The sequence below is a fragment of the Homo sapiens genome, chromosome 2, assembly GCF_000001405.40.
Source record: "Homo sapiens chromosome 2, GRCh38.p14 Primary Assembly".
In the NCBI taxonomy this organism is placed as follows: domain Eukaryota; kingdom Metazoa; phylum Chordata; class Mammalia; order Primates; family Hominidae; genus Homo; species Homo sapiens.
The window spans coordinates 46,398,296-46,419,220 of NC_000002.12; the positions used below are offsets into that span (position 1 = coordinate 46,398,296).

General features: G+C 41.6%; 1 long non-coding RNA gene across 1 annotated transcript, besides 1 other annotated feature; it reads right to left on the bottom strand.

Annotated features, from left to right (window-relative positions):
- Nucleotides 1-7,438: 7,438 nt before the first annotated feature.
- Nucleotides 7,439-14,475, bottom strand: LOC124907762 (uncharacterized). Its single transcript, XR_007086306.1, has 2 exons — nt 11,114-14,475; nt 7,439-7,930 (listed from the first exon to the last, which is right to left on the bottom strand). It is a non-coding gene; the product is annotated as an uncharacterized LOC124907762 (long non-coding RNA).
- Nucleotides 10,571-11,145: an enhancer, noted in NCBI's record as "H3K27ac-H3K4me1 hESC enhancer chr2:46636005-46636579 (GRCh37/hg19 assembly coordinates)". NCBI's record gives its function as "activates a minimal SCP1, AML or CMV promoter by ChIP-STARR-seq in primed H9 embryonic stem cells {active_cell/tissue: H9 hESC(primed)}" and the evidence as "EXISTENCE:reporter gene assay evidence [ECO:0000049][PMID:30033119]".
- Nucleotides 14,476-20,925: the final 6,450 nt, after the last annotated feature.

The following is a 20,925-nucleotide window of genomic DNA, read 5'->3' on the forward strand; positions in this document are numbered from 1 at the left end:
AAATGAGGATCAAGAAAATGAAAAGACAAGCAATAAAAGGGAGAAAATAGTTACAAATCATATATCTGCTAAGGGACTAATATCCAGAATGGATAAAGGACACTTACACCTCAACAACTGAAAGGAAAATAACTCTATTTAAGATTCCTCCAAATATTCCTCCAAAGAAGATATACAGATGGCCAATTAAATGTATCAAAAAGACACTCAATGTCATTACAGACATGCAAATTAAAACCACAATAAGATACCCCTTCACACATCACTATGCTGACTAAAATTTAAAAGATGGGCAATAAAAAGTGTTGCTAAAGATGTGGAGAAATAGAAACACTCATACATTGCTAGTAGAAATGTAAAATGGCATGCAAAGTCCTTTGGAGAACGGTCTGGCAGTTCCTCAAAGAGTTAAACAGAATTGCCATATGACCTGCAATTTCACTCCTAGATATATACTCAAGAGAACTGAAAACATATGTTCACATAAAAACTTATATACAAATATTTACAGCAGCACTATTCATAATAGCCCAAAAGTAGAAACAACCTAAACATCCATCAGCTGATAAATGAATAAACAAGATGAGGTGTAGACATACAATGGAATATTATTCAGCCATATAAAGTCATGGGAGTACTAATACATGCAACAATATGAATGAATCTCAAAACCATTATGATAAATGAAAGGTGCCAGACACAAAGGCCACATATTACATGATTCTACTCATGTGAAATGTCCAGAATTAGTAAATTCAAGGAGTAAATTAGTAAATTACTCCAATGTCCAGAATTACTCAATTTAATTAGTAAATTAGTGATTGCCAAGGGCTGAAGGGATAAATAAGGAGGGTTTCTCTTTGACGTGATGCAAATGTTCTAGAATTAGTAGTAATGGTTGCACAATTTTATTAAAATACTAATTGTACGCTTTCAAAGGGTGTATATGGCATGTGAATTACGTCTCTATTTTAAAATAAAGATATGAGGGACTGAAGTATACAATTTAAAAACAAGACCTAATTGACATATTCTGTGCCCAAATACAGAATAAACATTCTTTTAGATGCATATAGGGGAATTTACGAAAATTGGCCATGTGCTAGACTATAGTGCTAGTGCCAAGGAAGCCATAACACATTTCAAAGGTTTAAAATGACTCACCATATATTCCTTGACCACAATGAAATTAAACTAGAAATAAATGACCAAACATAGGTTTAAGAATCACCGAGTGTTGAATTTAAGCAATACACTTCTAAATAACCATGAATCAAAAAATACTACTTTGGAAATTAGGACATATTTTGAGTATTAATATAAATGGTGTACCAAAGCTTCTGGGATTCAGTTAAAGCCATGCTTAAAGGAAAATTTATAGCCTTAAATGGATGTATTAGAAAAGAAGAAAGGATGAAAACCAATGCTGTAAGTACTTACATCAAGCAGCTAGAAAGCAAACAGTAATTGAACATCACAGAAAAATAGAAATAAATGAGGAAAACTTAATAATTTATTAATAGAAAACAAGTACAAAATAGAGAAAAATCAACAAAGCCAAAGTTAGTTCTTTGAAAAAACTGATAAAATTGATAAACACCTACCAAGATTCATCAGGAAGAGACAGAATGGGCACAAATTACTAATATCAGGAATTAAAATTAAAGATTATAGAAGAATATTTGAAACAATTTTATGCCATTAAAAACTAGGTGAAATACACTAACTCCTTGAAAAAAATCAAACTGATCAAGACTGACACTAGAAAATAGAGAAAATATGAATAGTTCTACATTTACTTTGAAAAGTGAGTCCTTAAATAAAACATTCTAAGAAAACTTCAGTCCCAGATGGCATAACCACTAAATTCTCCCAAATGTGTGAGGAATATCATTCTGTCTCCAATACATTTAGAGAATAGAAAAAGAGGGAACACTTGGAACTCATTAGTGAGGCCAATATATCCTTGACATCAAAGCTTGGCAGACATACAACAATTTAAAAAAATTGCAGGCCAATCTCTCTCACAAGCCTCAATTCAAATATCTTCAAGAAACTATTATCAAATCAAATCCGGTGGTACATGAAAAGGACAATGCATTCCAAGTAATCTGGGTTTATTACAGAGATACATGTTTAGTTTAATAAAGAACAATTGGATCAATATAATTTATCATATTAACAGAATAAAGAAAAAACCTATCTCAATAGATGTAGAAAATACATTTGATAAAATTTGAAATGCATTATTTTATTAAAATAAATTCTTAGCACATAAGCACAGAGAATAACTTCCTGACTCTTATAAAGAATATTTATTTTAAAGCTTGTATAAAACATCATACTTAATGGTGAAATCTAAAAGCTTTCCCCTGAAAGAAACAAGACAAGGATGTCAACTATCATCACTTCTATTCAACATTAAATGAGATAGAAAAAAACAAAGTCAGTTTCTCCTATTCCCTACTTTCACAGTCACTCAACACAAAACTTTTGACACACCAACCAACCAATTTTCCAGCAGACACCAATTGGATGTCCTATAATTCAACACAATTCCGACACTACCTACCTGGAGATAGTATCAGATCCTACAGGTTGAGGGCTCAGTCCCACAGTATTGTCCCCGACTTCAGATGCTAGTCACAAGTAATAAGCTCTACCTATACTTCTGATGGACTGGAAATAAATCGGGGATTCCTGTAAACCCCTCGTTGGGCTCAATAATTTTCTGCAGCATCTCGCGGGACTCAGGGAAACACTTTACTTATGTTTACCCATTTATGATAAAGGATACTACAAAGGATATAGATGAACAACCAAATGAAGGACATACATAGGGCAAGGTATGGGAGAAGGAACGCAGAGCTTCCATGCCCTCTTCAGCAGTGCCACCCTCCAGAACCTCAGTGTGTTCAGCTATTCAGAAGCTCCCTGAATCCAGTCCTTTTGGGTTTTTATGAAGTATCCATATTACTTAGGCATGATTAAATCATTGGCCATTGGTGGTCAACTGAACCTTCAGCCCCAGAGGTTGGGGGGATTGGGCTGAAAGTCCTAACCCTCTAATCATGTCTTGGTCTTTCTGGCAACCAGTCCCCACCCTGAAGTTATCGAAGGGCTCTCCACCACCTGTCATCTTCTGAGCATACAGAAGACACTCGTCATCACTCTGGAGATGTCAAAGGTTTAGGAACTGTCAGGAAAAGGGGATGAAGACTAAATATATATTTCACAATATTACAAATATTGTACTAAAAAACCTAACCAATATAATAAAACAAAAAAAAGGTATGAAGATTAGAAAGCGAAAAAAATCCTATTATTATTTACAGTCTACATGACTGTATATACAGAAAATGCAACAGGATTTTCAGATAAATTATTATGGTTCATTGGTGAATTTAACAAGATTGTTGAATTCAAAGATAATATACAAAAATCAATTATCTCCAGCAACAAATAAATGAAAAGGTATATTTTAAAATGATTGCACATAAAATAAAAATGCGCATTTTTATTGTACTAATTCAATTAAAAATAAGAAAAAATCTGAAAGACATACAAGAATGTTAAATACAGAACTTTAGAAAATATGGAGAAAAATAAAATACCAAAATAAATCCCATGTTCACGGATTGGAAAAGTCAGTATGTCTAAGATGTCAGTTCTCCTCAAATTTGGCTATATATTAAGAACATTCCCAATCAGAATAGTAGTAGTTTATATGTATATGTATGTTCATAGTCAAAAATTTATTCTAAAATTTATGTGGGAATGCTAACAGCCAAAAGTATCCAAAACAATGTTGAAAAAGAACAAAGTTGGATAATAATGCTACTGGATATCAAAACTTATTTTATTGGCTGGGCCTGGTGGTGTGACCCTGTTGTCCCAGCTACTCTGTAGGCTGACGTGAGAGAACTGCTTGAGTCCAGGAGTTCAAGACTGTAGCGCACTATGGTACCTGTGAACAGCCCACTGCACTCCGGCCTGGGCAACATAGTGAGACCCAGTCTCTTCATTAATTAATAACAATAAATTTCAAAACATTATTTTAAAATGACAATAATTTTGACAGTGTGGTATTGTGTATGGATCGGTGAATAGATCAAATAGAAAAGAAAAAAACTATCATTGTTATCATTATTAAAAAACTATCACTAGCCCAGAAATTAACCTACTCATATGTGGACACACTGCATGACAAAGGTAACACCGCAAAGCAAAGAGGAAAGGTCAGTCTTTTCAATAAATGCACTAAGTCAATAAGATATTCATATGGGAAAAAATTATTCTTGGCTCCTACCTCACACTAAATATAAAATTTCCAGGTCAATTAGAGATCAAAATGAGAAAAATAAATTAGACTTCTAGAAGATAACATAAGAGAAAGCCTTCATGACCTCAGTAGGCAAGACTTATTGAATATGAAGAGATGATCCACAGAATGGGAGATAATATTTGAAATATTTACACCTAACAAAGGACTCATATCCAGGATATAGAAAGAACTTCTCAAATTAGTCCCAACAACAACAACAAAAAAGACAAGTGACCCAGTAGAAAAATGAACACAAGACTTAAATAGCTACTTCACAAAGTTTTTATGGCCGATAAAAGTAGTGCTTAAACTCTGGAGTCATTAGGAGAATGAAAATTAAAACCACAATCAGAAACCACTTACATACCCACTAGAATGGCTAAAGTTGAAAAAACATTGTCGTAAGTACCAAGTCCCAGAGAGGCCATGAAGCAACTGGAGCTCTCAGATATTACTGGTGGAGGTGAAAATTGGCACAACCACTGGGGGAAGCTGAACGTACGCATACTCTCTTACCCGGTTATTCTACTCCTGTGTATACCCAAGAGAAACGAGTGCATTTGACCTGCAAAACACAGGTTTAAGAACATACCTAGCAACATTATTTCCAATGGCTCCAGACTAAAAAGAACCCAACTGTCCATCACTAGAAAAGTGGACAAAAATCATGATCTACTCATAAAATGGAATATGCTATAGCAATGAACATGAACAAACTACTGCTACATGTAAGAACATGGATGAATTTCATATATGCTGTGTCAGAAACCAGAAACGATAGATTACAAATTGTGTAAATTTCATGTAACGGTACAGGCAAAACTAACCTAGACCATTAAAAGTCAAATATTAGTCATCTTTGGGCAAAAGGGTGGGTTGTGACAAAGACGGACAGAAGGAGGGCTTCTAGGATGCTGTAAATAGTCTAGTTCTAACCTAGAAGATTATATAGATACGTTTCACTTTGGGAAAATTCATCTAGCCAAATACTTACAATTTCTGCGGTTTTCTGTGTGAATTTTATACCTCTATAAAATTTTATCAATAGAAAAAAACTTTGATAAAATATTATTGATGAGTATGTAGTGAGACAGGCACCCTATATGTGTTAGAAGTATAAACTGTAAATATCTCTGAAAGGCAAATTGGTCATATCTACACAAATTGAAACGCTATATATATCCTTTCAACCAACAATTCTACCTAGGATATTTACAGTTATACTTCCACATATGCAGAAAGATACAAATAAAAGGATTTCCATCCTTTCATGGCCACATCATTTTTAAGCCTAAACATCTAAAGGCTTGTCTGAATAAATCACGGTGCATTTAAACAAGAAAATACCAGTGTTTAAAACAAACAAATGAATGTCAACCAAATCTGGCTCAAGTCCATGAAGTCACATTCTAGGTTTACATATGTTAGGACATCTCTGAAAGGGCACTTAAGGAGCTAGCAGGAGTGGTGGTCTCTCTGGCATGCACTAAGGGATGGAGCCTCAGGGTAGAAGGAGGATGATCCCCTGTACCCTTTGCAATTTGCACCATGTCAGAATATAAACTTGTTAATCAAAACAGAAACATAGCCCTAGCCTTACAGTGGAGTCCAGACGTGACAGCATATAAGATGCCAGAGGGCAGGGCTTCAGAGGCCATAGGGTCCAACTTTTCATCACAAAGGTGAAAAGACTGAGGTACCCATGATCTGCATTCCTTCAGAATGGAAAAACACATTACCTGGGAGGTAAACACACCCAGGCCCCACCACCCTCCCATCTAAGTGCAGATGAAGCTATCAGATAGCAGCTAAGGCCCCAGGAGATGTGCGCAGCAAAAGCAGGTTTTCTGGGAAGTCGGGGGTAGGGCTGCAGGTGACAGCAGTGGGGATAGGAGGCAACCACATAAGGTCCCGGTGGCACCCTGGGCAGACTGGAGGTGGGAGAAACAAGAGGCAACTACTGATAAAGTTCTCCTGCTTCAAAGTAGGCTCGGGATACAAGAGCTGGTTTCAAATCCAGTCGCTTCTCTTAAATGTCTACATCCATTCATTCACTCAATCAATTATTCATCCATCAATTTTGTGCACGAGTGATACATACTAGGATGTGGGCTGGGCGTGAAGAATATAATCAAAAACAGTCCTTGCAGAGCTCAGGAGTTACTACTATAGCACATACTGGCCCAGTGCAGATAAACTGTGGTGGTCTATTGAGATGACTATTGACAATCCCCTCTCTTCTTTTTAATGTTCTTTTGTAATTTAATGAAATGTGAATATAGCATGAAAGTGTACTTTCATCCTTTGTGCTCAACTGAAATATACCTTTTTAATCTTTTCTCAAAATTTATTGTGGTATAATTGAAATTCAATGAACTGCACACACTTAAAGTGTATGAATTAATCACTTTTGACATACATATACAGCTATAAAAGCATTACCACAATTAAGATAGAGAACATTTCCATCACCCCAGAATGTTTCCTCATGTCCTTGTGTAATTACTCCCTCCTTCCATCCTTATCCCCAGGCAACCGCTCTCCTCTAGAAACCCTTTTTGGAAATAAGGAAGACTTCTGACTGCTATCAGGCCAATCCCTGGAGGGCAGAGGTGAGGAAGGTAAAGAAGTATCAGGAAATGGGGATAAGTATGGAGATATCATAGGCCCAAGGCCTAAGGAGAACTGAAGGGCAAATAGCTTTAGCAACATATAGGCATTTAACCCTTGCAGCCAACGTAAGAGAAAGGTTCATTATCCTCCTTTTCATGAATGAGGAGACAGCCTCACAGAGGTTAAGGAGCTGGGTCAAGGTCACACAGGTAGCACGTGGCAAAACTGGAGTCCAAAGCTCACATTGCCCAGCTAAGTGCTTTCCCTCCGGGACTTGCTGAGGTCCCCACCTGCACCCCAGGGGTAGCCTGCCCAATGTGCACTGAGCCTAGCTGTGTCCAGTGGGATTCCCAGCACCTCTCCCCTCATCAAGAACACGGACTTCCCACCCACCCTCATACCCCAGCCCCATCTGATGCTGAGACCAAGGAGCCCCAGCCACGCAGGGAGACAGGCGCCTCCCCAGGGAACTCCCCAAGTTGCAACACTCCGGCACAGGACCCATGTTGGAACAGTTTAATGCCACCTAAAACCAAAACAACAGCAGGCACATGCATCCAACATTTACCTCCTGAAAAATTACCAAGTAATATGCAAATACTTTCTTCTTCCCCACACCTGCCTCATCATCACATGAAGATCAAGCAGGGGTTGGGTAAGTCAGGGTCAGGGCAGGGTTGAGGAAGAGGAAAGGGAGAGACCAGGTGGGGGTGACATGGCTTACAGAGATCCCTGGGAGATACTACTTAAAAAAGAAGTTTAAGTTACCAGTGGTTTTGCATCTGGGCAAAGTCATTTTGACACAACCACACCAAAATGGCTACATGTAAGCGGCTGAAATATTCCAGAGCCCTCTCTGAGCCTCAGCTTCCATAAGCAGTGTCGGGTAGAGGCTGCAAGAAGCATCTGGGAACGAAACATGTCACAGGCTTCAATTCCTCCAGAAGCTGAGAGACAGAGGCGGGGGACACATCCACTCGGTGGAACAGAAAACTGAAACGAAGAGACACGTCCTAAATTTTCAGTGACTGGCGTTAGAGTTACCAGACTTTCTGGGGTGGACACTTGATGGGTAAAATGATTCCTGACTCAGTTTCCTTCTCTGCGTAGTGGACACGATACCCCAGCTCCTAGGCTTTCAGGACTCGGTGGAACCAGGTGTGCCATTTGCCAGGCCTAGCACCAGCACAAGACCTTCAGCAGTAGCTCCCTCCTGCCCCACTGCCACTCCTGCCCACACCCCTGATATCCGGGCCATCAGACTGAGAGGTGCTCTCTGGATGCTGTGGGAAGTTAGCAGCAGCCTCACAATGCCCCTCCTGGGTCCATCTCCTTTATCCTGTGTATGGATTGGTTACAGTCATGGGGACAGGGTGGCCACTTGTTCTGCATTTGGATTCCTTGTTACTCTTTTCATCATTTGAATTGGGAAGCAAGGGGCTGTGGTTACAGAAGGACATCCCAACAGGATGCACTGTTGGTGTGTCTCCTGCCCTTACCCCCAACACCTTTCTGCACTCTCCCTTCCTCCCCCAGCTGGGCAAGAGCATTAAGGTGTGATCTGACTCACTAAGCTGCCTTCTCCCAAACAAAAGAGAGCCAGAGCTTTTCCCCAGCCCACTGGCAACGGTATGGCTCCTCTACCATCAACAAACCTAATCAAGAACTGACCATCAGGAGTTCGAGACCAGCTTGGCCAACCTGGTGAAACCTTGTCTCTACTAAAAACACAAAAAATTAGCTAGGTGTGGTGGCAGACACCTGTAATCCCAGCTACTCTGCAGGCTGAGGCAGGAGAATCGCTTGAACCCGGGAGGTGGAAGTTGCAGTGAGCCGAGATCGCGTCACTATACTCCAGCCTGGGCAACAAGCACAAAGCTCTGTCAGGAAGGAAGGAAGGGAGGGAGGGAAAAGAATTGACCATATACACATGAGCCTTGTGCAAGCGAGGAGGCTTCCAGCAAAGGAAGAGAGTGAGGGTGGGTGAGGCTTCAGGAAGGAGGCAAGTCTTAGGTAAGTCTTGGAAATGGAGGGCCAAAGGTTGATGGAAGCAAGAAGGCATTCTGACAAGTCCTACAGATGACATTTCATTCACCAGCTCTTTTGGTGTAACAAACGTCTATTGGGCACCTACCAGGTGCCAAGCACTGTGGGCCATGGGGATGTGAGAATGAACAGAACACGGTCCTTGCCCTCCAGAGGTTCGCCGGAAAAAGCACTGTGACTAACACATGTTGTGGCAAAGCAACAGTAGTCACCAGCACCAAAGGGGAGGCACCAAACAGTGCCTGGGGAGGCCAGGTGGGCATCAGTGGGAGGGCAGTGCCTACGAGGGGCTTGAGACATAGCGTAGCAGTCAGGCGCAGGTTCTAGCACTGGCTGCATGGGTTTGCACCCAGGCTCTGCCAGTTACTAATTCTATGAGCTTGGTCAACTTACCAACCTCTCTGTGCCTCAGTTTCCTCATTTATAAATGGTACCCACTTCAAGAGGTTGTTGAAAAGATTATATGAATACATGTAAATCACAGTTAGTACAGTGTCTGGCTACTGGGTCTGTAAATGTATTTAAGATTGTCTTTCATGCAATTTACCTAACAAATGTGCACATGTACCCTACACCTAAAAGTCAAAAGAATTTAAATTTAAATTTAAAAAAGATTATTGTCTTGATGGCAAAGCAGGCATCTAGCAGGTAAAGAAGGATACAGGAAAGGTGTAAAGCAGAAAGCAGGAACAGCACGAACAAAGGCAAGGAGACGGAAGCGTGGGCCGTGGTTTGGCATGGCTGCTACAGGGGAGTGTGTGGTGAGAATTAAGCCAGAAGGGTGAGCAAAGCCCAGGTCTCGCCAGGCTGCGCACACCTTGGAGGTTGTGGACTTGATTCTGGAGTTGATAGCGAGCTCCTCCGCCTTTTTGTAATGATCGGATTGGGCCGTTGTATTAGGATTGTATCAGATTTGGGGACTGCATCATGCAGCTGGCTCAGGAGCTAGGAACTCACTACTACAGAAAAGAGAGAAAGAGGCCCTAAACTAACACAGGGCCGCAGGAATGCAGAGGCAGCAAGGACTGCGGCCTAGAGATGACTAGATATGGGCACGGGCAGGACACAGGGTGGCCTGGGTGAACCACTGAGCCACAAACCAGGACCGGGGAGACTGCAGCATGAGCAGGTTTGGGGCTGGAGAAGAGAGACAATAAAATAATAGGTGCTAGGCCAAGATCTAGGAACTTTATATGAATTATTTCATTTAAATCCCACATGGGGGGACCTTTGAGAAGGGCACAGCTATTATCCATATCTATAGATGAGAAAACTGAAGCGTAGTGTGATTGAAAACCCTGTAAGAATCAGAGCTGTGATGTGGTTTTCAGAGCCTGCATCCTCATTTCTGGGCCCCACGCTGACTTGGAGACACCTGAGGGCAGAGGCTGGGCATCTGGGGCTGGGCAGAGGCTGGGCATCTGGGGCTAGGCAGAGAGGCCTGGGCTGGAAGCTCTCTGTCGAGCCACAGGAGAGATAAGACTGAGATTGGCAGGGAGTGTGAGAGAGTGAGGAAGAAGGCAAGGCCGGACCACGAAGAAAGGGGCTGTCACAGAGGGTGATGGGTAGGCAGAAGTCCAGCCAGCCAGGAACCCATCCCAACCCCGGGATCCAGCAGGAGCCTTCCTCAGCCCTCTCCCCAGCCCACAGGGAAGGAGTCCAGCCCTAAAACTTGGCCTTTTGCCTACCTGCCCTGCCCACAGAGCACACACAGGCGGCCTGGCCCTCCTCCCGCGCCTAGAGCTGGTTGCACAACCACCTGAGCTGGTGAGGCAAGGATAGCGTTCCCTTCCTCCCCAAGAGGAGTCCAGAGGCAAGGGTTAAAAGGATTAGGCTCAGCTTTGGGAAACAAAACCAACTCTAAGTGGAAAAACACCAGCCCTCGCTGGGCTATTGTGAGGCGCAGTCATGGTTCCCAGTCCATATGTGGACAGGGCCTAGGATCTGTTGACAAAAGTGACTCAGGCGTTTACCTCAGGCCCAACGCCCGCTGGCCCAGGTCCCGTCTGGGTGTGTCATTGGCTCAAGTGAGGTCCCATGAATACACACACACACACACACACACACACACACACACACACACACACTCTGGAGCCAACTCTCTGAGTTACCCAATCCCAGCCAATTCACCTGAAGCACCTGGCATTTCTTTCATCACCCAACAGGTCATTGTGCTGAGCTGTCAGTGCAGAGGAGGCTTAGCTGGCTCCATCATTCACATCACAAGCTTCATAAATTCCTGAGGAGAGTGCCAAAGGCCGAGATTGCTGCAGCACTTTCACTGGGGGAAGAGGAGAGGCTAAGCAGGCAGGTGGTCAGGGAGAGCCAACAGAGGGAGAAATTCCAGCCTCCGCTTACTCCCCCTCTGTCACTTGGTTCCACCACATGTAGCGGCAGTGTCTGGCCCCAGTGTGCTGAGAGAAAAAAGAGAAAACACACACAGAGAAGTGGGGATCACAGAACATGGAATGTGTGTCCTCAAGGGCCCTTCCAGACCTTTAATTAGTGTGGCTCTCTCATTTACAGATGAAGAAACCATTTGTCAGACATTCAGCGGGTGAAGGACAAACAAGAGACAGAATCCAGGGCCTTCAACGTCCTCTCAGTGCTCTTGCCCCTACATCACACAGACTCCAGACAAGCAGGACTGGAAGAGGCTAAGATGACCACGAGCCTGACCCCACACCTGCTACTGGAGAGACCCACAGCCTCCTCATCTGGGCTCTTCTGGCCACATGGCACAGCCTGGTGGGGTAGGTTTTACTCATTGTGGCATCTCTGGTACCTGGGGCACAGTAGGTTCTCAGAAAATGTTGCATGAGTTAATCTAATGGAATACCAGTTTATCCCATATGGAAGTATGCTAGCCGCTTTTTTGGAAGCCACGAGAAATTTAAAGCAGACTTTAAAAAAAAAAATCATGTATCACTTCGCTTCAGCCTGACAAGATTTTTTCTGGCTGGACAAGAATTCTTGACAAACCTGCATTTAGGCAGGTAAGTTCCCCTTGTGGCATACCTGAATTGCTCTCTCTCTCTCCCGCAAGCAGGTGCCCAGGAAGCAGGAGATGGAGGTAGGTGAGACAAGGCTTTCCCAGCTAGCCGTGGTGGTGGGAACACCATGATCAGCTTCCCCACGACATACCCAGCAAACAGGAATCTTAATGAAACTACCAGAGCTGCCCGAGGCACATGCCCTGCTCCTCTCATCTTTGGCACAGCTGAGCATGTGTTGGCCAATAGCCTATGCTGTACCCAGAACGGGTGCCCAGGATCAAGTGGAACCTTCCTGGTCAGCTGGGAAGACAAATGCTGAGAACGTTTCTTTACCAAACATTCCTGAGTACCTCTTCAGGGCCAGCCCTGATCCAGGCCCTGAGGATACAGATGTGAAGGTATATAGGCCTGCTTCTGCTCTCATGGGGCTCAGAACCCTTCTTACTGTTCCAGAAACACAAGGGCAGCTGTGTTGATGTAGCCACGCTGGCCCCATTAGATGAAGTTGGACAGAGGGATGGATGAATGAATGCACGTGGTGAAGAGGGGAGGTTCAGGGCCTTGCTGAAAAAGATGAATATTAAAAAGCAAGTTAAGAGATAACAATGCTTGAGAATCATCAGAGCAAACACTCGCTGAGCCTTTCCAGTGTGCCAGGCCCTGTGTGGAGTCCTTATATGTCTTTATTCACTTAATCCCTTACCTATGCTGAGGCCATTAACTGTTATCATCCCCATAAGAAAACTGAGCCCAGAGAGGTTGCTAAACTCACAGAAGTCACACAGCTGGGAAGTGGCAAGTGAGAACTGGAACCAGGCACCAGGGCCCTGGTGCTCAAATGACCAGCTGGCATGCTTCATAGCTCCCTTCAGAGGCTTCTAGCCGTGTTAAAGCTTTGAACTGAATGAATCAGGTGGGATCATACATGAGTTGACAAAAGGGTGGTAACACCAAGGGACCTCAGAGGGTGACGCTGCTTTGGCATTTCTTAGCAAATTTACCATGATCAGAGTCTGGCCTTAACTGACCAGGAAGAGGACTCCGTCATTCATGCAGAGATGAAAATACTTATTAGTAATCAACTGATGCTGATCCAATGCAGAAGAGAGCTATAAAATCCCATCTAAATGCATTCATTTACATTGGGTGAGGTATATGAGTAATAGTGACCAGAATGCTCACTGCTGTCAGGGGTCACCAACCCAGGAATGGGGCATGGCCACTGTGAGACAGGAGTGAAATCAGCACACAGGAAGCAGAGAGCACAGGAAAAACAGGTCTCTTGCTGAGGCAGTCTGCCCCAAAGGTATAGCACACCTCTCTGGTCATGGCCCACTAGACCTTTTGCTGGGCAGTGGGGAACCATCTAAGAACCAGACCAACCTAGGCCCTGCCTCACTGAGTGTATGGTCCTAAGAGAGAAGCCAGACACTAAACATGTCATTACGGGCGGGTGACAGTTACCCAAAGACACACTGAGGATGCTCTTGCAAAAGAAAACTGTATGACCCACATTCCCCAGAATCGAGTCTCCTCTTGCCTGGGTAGACCTGGGTAGACCTACAGGGAGCTCACCATCAGATTTGTTCCTCTGATCCCCACTTTCTTATATCCCATGATATAAGACAGATGACACACTCCTGGCTCTTAATGGACCTAAATGACCTCTCCTGTCTCAACCTGGGACATCCAAGTGAGCTCAGTTCTTTCCCTGTTTTTGTTCCAGGAGGACAAATTCATTATTTTGGGCCAATTCCAGCTCTGCTGAACCTGCGTCTGCTACTGGAGAGACCCCAGAGCACACTTCCCAACCTCCTTCTCAGGGCTCTCAGGCTGCACAGCTCTGCCTATGTCCTTGTTCCCCTCATTGCCAAGTTTCAGGGGAAACTGTCAGCCCCACATATCACCAGCTGCCAGTGTCTATCACAGAGAACTGCAAAGACACAGAGTGATCCAGCTTGTTGGAACCAGAGGGATGCTGGGAAATGATGTTGCTATACTGTGTAGACAGATGATTACACATGAGCACCCTGGACAACCCAGGAATGTCCTGGAAGCACCTGCTTCACACCCAGCCCTGGTAGACCAAGAAATCACACATTTGGGCAGCTAATTTCTCTAAGTTATTTTCTCTGCCAAGCACAGAAATGAACAGACCAAAAAGGGCAGGAACAAACAGAGCCAAGAGTTTATATGCTCCTGATTTAAGACACAAAAATAAGAGAAATAGTCCCACTGTGCAAATAACAAATAGACCAACCCTTACTCCCCAGCCAAATATTGGTATTTCCTTTAAATTTTTGACTAAAATATCTATGCTTGGGGTAGTGACAGACTTGTGGCTATTTGGCCAAAAGCTGTTCTAGGTCATAGGCAGCCATTAAAATTATGATTTTCAAACAAAAGTTACAGATTTAGATTGACTTTTGAGCCCAAAGTTATTTTGACGTTTCATAAAATAAATCATCAGATAAGCACATCACATTATGTTGACAACAGTGCCCAAAATGGTTTTACTATTTTTAGTATTTATATTTATCATTTTATTTTTATTGATTTATAATTGTATAATTTATAATTAAATAATATCTATATTTGGGATTTTTAAACAGCCAGTATAAATAGACAAGAATGGAACAGTTACAACCATGTATATGGCAGGCAATATGTAAGGCATCTTTTTTCCTGGAATGTGTGATTTTTCCCCTGAACGGTGATTAAATTCATCTCCCAAGAAGCTTTTGGTTTGAATCCAGGTAGACCAAGCAAAAAAAGAAGACAATACAGCATAGGACCCACAGTTTGAAACTTGTCAGCTAAACAATTCAGATCGTCTCTTTCTTCAGTCATGGTCACTGTGTGCTCAGTCAGCTCAGCCTGTAACTGATTCCTGTCCTGAATCAAATGCCAAGGACCCTGTTCTTAATACTCCTGCCCTGACTTCCCCCAAAGGTGTGACAATGGCAGTGTGAAGTAGGAAAAAGCTGTGCCTGGAGCCTGCCTGCACCTCTTGTAAAAAAACTGAACTGAGAAACGCCAGCTTGCAATTCAATGCACAAAAATTGACATCCATTTTAGAAGCAATGCTCAGTCAGCTAACTTGTTGGTATTTGAGGGGGTGGACAGCTGCCTTTTCCAAAAAGAACAACGCTGCATGGGACAGGATCCTACCTGTAGAGGTAATAAGGAAAAGGAGGCTGGGTGTAGTGACTCACACCTGTAATCCCAGCACTTTGGGGGGCCATGGCCAGAGGATCGCCTTGAGCTCAGGAGTTTGAGACCACCCTGGGCAACATACTGGGATCCTGTCTCTACTAAAAATAATTTTTTAAAAAACAGCCAGATATGGTGGTGTGCACCTGTAGTCCCAGCTACTCAGGAGGATGAGGTGGGAGGATTGCTTGAACCCAGGAGGTAGAAGCTACAGTGAGTTATGTTTGCACCACTGCACTCCAGCCTAGGTGACAGTAAAAACCTGTATCAAAAAGGAAAAATTAAAAAAAAAAAAAAAAAAAAAAAAAAAAAAAAGCAGAGTGACAGGATTCCAACATTCTGAGTAGCTCTTAAATGGCTTGGGGATAAGACATCTTCTCAAAGTGAAACTGTATTTACTAGCAAGAAAATAGGGACCAATTAAATTGGTCCAAGTACTGCATAATTTGGAGCAGTTGACCTTGATTTGTAAAACATGTTAATTGTTATCTGAGCTTTTAGGAGCTTAGCCCTAAAATCATACCTGAGGTAAGTGAACCCTAGAAACTATTGAATGACCACACATAGAGAGGTAGTAGAGCAGAGTGGTTAGGCCAGCCTCCAGAACAGTCAGTCAGGATTTGAATCGCAGCTCTATTCTCTACTAATTGTGCCACCCTGGGCACATCATCTACCTCTCTTTTTCTTTGTAAAATGAGCATAATAATGGTACCTACCACATAGCTGGTTTATGGATAGAAGAGAGATTCAAAGATCTGCAGAGGATCCCTGTGGGTTTTCAGCTGGGAACAATCAATGCATTCATGTGAGGAAGTTACCTGATGCTGAGGAAAGGACCACTCAAAAAGAAAAAGCAAATCACTGGAGCTCACTCAGCACCAGGAGCAGTTTATATTTCCAGCAGCCAGAATAGAAAACCTCATAATCCGTGATGTACCAGGTGAAGGACTCAGATATTGCCTCAGTAGTATAGAGAAATGTAACCCTAGACTAAAGATTATGATGGTCCCACCTAACTTAAAAGAAAGACTCAATAGTATCATACTTTTTCCAAAAAACTTAATTGCATCCCAGAACCAAATTTCAGAATATTTGGAGGAATACACAAATATCTAGAATCTGAAAAGGTAGAATGTATAATATTTGGCATTCAATTAAAAAAAAAAAAAAAACAGAGGCCAGGCCCTGTGGATCACTCCTACAAAACCCAGCACTTCAGGAGGTCAAGGCAGGAGAACTGCTTAAGCCTAGGCATTCGAGACCATGATGGGCAACACAGTGAGACCTCATCTCTACAAGAATAATTTTTTTTTTAATTAGCCAGGCACATTGGTCCATGCCTGCAGTTCCAGCTACTGGGGAGGTGGAGGGGAGGATTGTTTGAGCCCAGAAGGTCAAGGCTGCACTGAGCCAAGATCAAACCACTGCACTCCAGCCTGGGGAACAGCCCTGTCTCTGAACAAAACAAAAACAAGCAAACAAAAATGAAAGGAAACAGGAAATATGAAAGGAAACAGGAAAGGAAATAAAATAGTCATGAAGGGAAACAGGAAACATAAGGGAAAAAATTCAATCAATAGGAACATATGAAAATGGCACAAAAGATAAGATTAGCAGAAAAAGTCATCAAAATAATTAGTATAACTATATTCTATATGTCCAAGTAGGTAGAGGAAAATGCTAAATGATGAGTTAATGGGTGCAGCACGCCAACATGGCACATGTATATATATGCAACAAACCTGCACGTTGTGCACATGTACCCTAAAACTTAAAGTATAATAATAATAAAATAAAATAAAGTGAAAAAAAATCCCAAATCAAACCCTAAAAATAAAAACCTCTACATTTAAAACAAAATAAACACTGGATAGAATAAATAGACAGACACTACCAAGGAAAAGACTTGTGAGCTTGAAGACACAACAACAGAAAGTATCCAAAATGAAACATAAAGAAAAGACGCGGTGAGGACAGAACATCAGTGAACTAAGTGAACAAATTACATGTAATTAAAGGCAAGGGGAGAACAAAAATATTATTTAAGGAAATAATGGCCAAAACTTTCCAAAAATGATCCAAACTGTAAGTCCACAAAAAATCTCCACAAACCCCAAGCAAAAGAAACACCAAGGACATTACACTTCAGAATATCATAATTAAATTACTTAAAACCAACAATAAAAAGAAAATCTTAAAATCAGGCAGAGATAAAAGATATGCTATAACAGAATAACAAAGATAAGAATTACATCAGAATTTTCATTGGAAACAATGCCGGCTAGCAATTAATGGAGTAAAATCTTTAAAATTCTGGGGGCGGTGGGGGAGGAAGAAGCCTGTCAATCTAGCAATCCAGACCTAATGAAAATGTGTTTCAAAAACAAAGACAAAATAAAAACCTTAGAAATTCAAAAGCTGAAATTATTCTTCATCATCAGATCCATATTACAAAAACATATATTAAAGGAAATGTTTTTAGATGGAAGGAAAATATCAGATACATAAACAGAGAGCATTGGAAAGGATTAATAGTGAGAAAATATAAAATAATGTATTATGTTTAGAGTCTTGAAAACAAAATTGACTATTTAAAGCAAAAATAATAGCCAATAACTTATAATGGATATAAAACTAACATATATGACAAGAATAGCACAAAGGCCAGAAGAAGGGAAATACAAGTAAACTGTTGTAAGTTTTTAATTTAATACTATATATAAAGCAATAAAGTATTAATTGTAGACTCTAAGTTAATATGTACAATATAAAGCCTAAAACAACCGCTAAATAAAACAAATGGATAGAACTATAATCTAACAAAGAAAGTAAAACAGAATTAAAAATAGGCAATAAATCCAACAGAAGGCAAAAGAAAAGGAAAAGGGGAACAAAGAGCAAATGAAATGAAAACAAATGACAAGATGGCAGATTCAATCAAATCATATCATTAATATTAAATGTAAATGGTCTAAATACCTCCAGGTAAATGACAGAGAATGTCAGATTGGATTAAAAAAAAGCAAGGCCTAACTATCTTGCCTATCAGAAATTCTCTTTAAAAAGACAAAAACAGGTTAAAAGTAAAAGAACAGACATAACACTAACCAGAGCACACAGAGTAAAAGAACACATTTAACACTAACCAGAGCAAACCAGGAATAAACAGGGGCATAGGAAAGGTTAAATTCATCAAGAAGACACAGTCCTTAAATGTATATGGGCCTATGTGACATTATGAGATACAGATACAGGTGGCTTTTGTTCATGGCTCCTGGCTCATAACTGACATAGCCCTTCTTACAGTAAAAAGAATTTCTCTCTCTGATCTTCTCTTGCCCAAGGCAAAACTCTGAGTGTAGAACATAAAAGCCTCATTTCAGAAAGAAACCTGCCCCATATTTTGAAGGAAGGAATGCTGCACAGAGAGGCCAAGAAGAATCTGAACAGACAGGCTTCGCTGTATTTAGATCAAACACTTTTAGTCCACTCACTTTTGTACATGGTCATCAATCACGCCTATCCAATGAAATCTCCATAAAACGTCCAAAGGTTCATTCAGGGAGCTTCCAGACAGCTGAACATATGGAGTTTCCTGAGAGCTGGCATACCCAGGGAGGGCATGCAAGGTCCATGCCTCTTCCTATACCTTGCCCTGTGCATCTCTTCATCTGTATCCTTTGTAATATCCTTTATAATAAACTGGTAAACATGTTTCCCTGAGTTTCTGAGTCACTTAAGCAAATTAATCAAGCCCAAAGTGGGGGTCACGGAACTTGAAACCCAGCTTAAAGCTAGTTAGTCATAAGTTCCAGAGGCCATGACCTATGACTGGTGACTAAAGGGAGGGACAGTTTTGTGGAATGAGACCTCAACAAGGGGATCTGACACTATCTCTAAGTAAATAATGTCAGAATTGAATTACAGGATACCCAGTTGGCACCCACTACAGAACTGATTGCTTATTTGTTGGTGGGGAGAAATCCCAACACATTTTGGGGTCACAGAAGTCTTGTGTTGATATGACAGCAAAGGAAAAATGGTTTGAATTTTTCCTAACAGCCTAATAACAGAGTTTCAAAATACATAAAGCAAAAACTTATGAAATCACAAGAAGACCGTGAAATTTAGAAAATCCTCAAATATTCTGAGACACGAATTGCAGAAGAAATTTAAGAAGAGCAAATTAGAAAGTAATTTTTAACTGGAGGGAAATGAAAACACAACATATCAAAATTGTGAGACACAGTGAAAGCAATCCTTTAGGAATTCACAGTACTGACATCCTTTTATTAGAAAACAGAAAATGTCTCAATTCAGTGGTCTCAGCATCCATATTAAAGATTAGAAAAAGAACCCAGATGAACATATATGTAAAAATTCTCAACAAAGTATCAGCAAACTGCAATAGCACATTAAAAAGATCATTCACCGTGATCAACTGGGATTCATTCCTGGGATGCAAGGATGATTCAACATATGCAAGTCAATAAATGTGACACACCATATTAATGAAATGAAGGACAAAACCCATATAATCATCTCAATGGATGCAAAAAAATCATTTGACAAACTTCATCCTTTATTATAAAAACTCTCAACAAACTAGCTATAGAATGTACAAGTAATGTACCACAACATAATAAGGACCTTATATAACAAGCACACAGCTAACATCATACTCAACAGTGAAAAGTTGACAGCTTTTTCTCTATAATCAGGAACAAGAGAAAAATGTTCACCCTCACCACTTCTATTCAATATAGTAATAAAAGTCCTAACCAAAGCAATCAGGCAAGAAAAAGAAATAAAGGCATCCAAAAAGGAAAGGAAGAAGTGAAATTGCCGTATTGTTGATGACATGATCTCATATAAAGAAAACCCTAAGGATTTCACAAAAAAAAAAACTGTTAGAACTGATCAACAAATTCAGTAAAATTGCATGATACAAAATCAACATATGGGCATAAAAAGCCCAGGATGGGAGGAGCCAAGATGGCCGAATAGGAACAGCTCAGGTCTACAGCTCCCAGCTTGACCGACGCAGAAGACGGGTGATTTCTGCATTTCCATCTGAGGTACCGGGTTCATCTCACTAGGGGGTGCCAGACAGTGGGTGCAGGTCAGTGGGTGCAGCGCACTGTACGCGAGCCGAAGCAGGGCAAGGCATTGCCTCACGTGGGAAGCGCAAGGGGTCAGGGAGTTCCCTTTCCTAGTCAAAGAAAGGGGTGACAGACGGCACCTGGAAAATCGGGTCACTCCCACCAGAATACTGCACTTTTCCAACGGGCTTAAAAAACGCTGCACCAGGAGATTATATCCCGCACATGGCTCAGAGGGTCCTACGCCCACGGAGTCTCTCTGATTGCTAGCACAGCAATCTGAGACCAAACTGCAAGGCGGCAGCGAGGCTAGGCGAGGGGCGCCCGCCATTGCCCAGGCTTGCTTAGGTAAACAAAGCAGCCAGGTGGTTGCAGCTAGCCAAGATCGCGCCACTGGATTCCAGCCTGGGTGACAGAGTGAGACCCTGTCTCCAAGAAAAAGAAAAGGGAAAGCTCCATGACACTGGTCTGAGCAATGACTTCTTGGATAAGAACCCAAAAGCACAGGTAACAAAAGCAAAAGTACAAAAATGAGACTGCATCAAACATAAAAGCATCTATACAACAAAGGAAATAACTAGCACAGTCAAGAGACGACCCACAAATTGGGAGAAAACATATGCAAACCAAA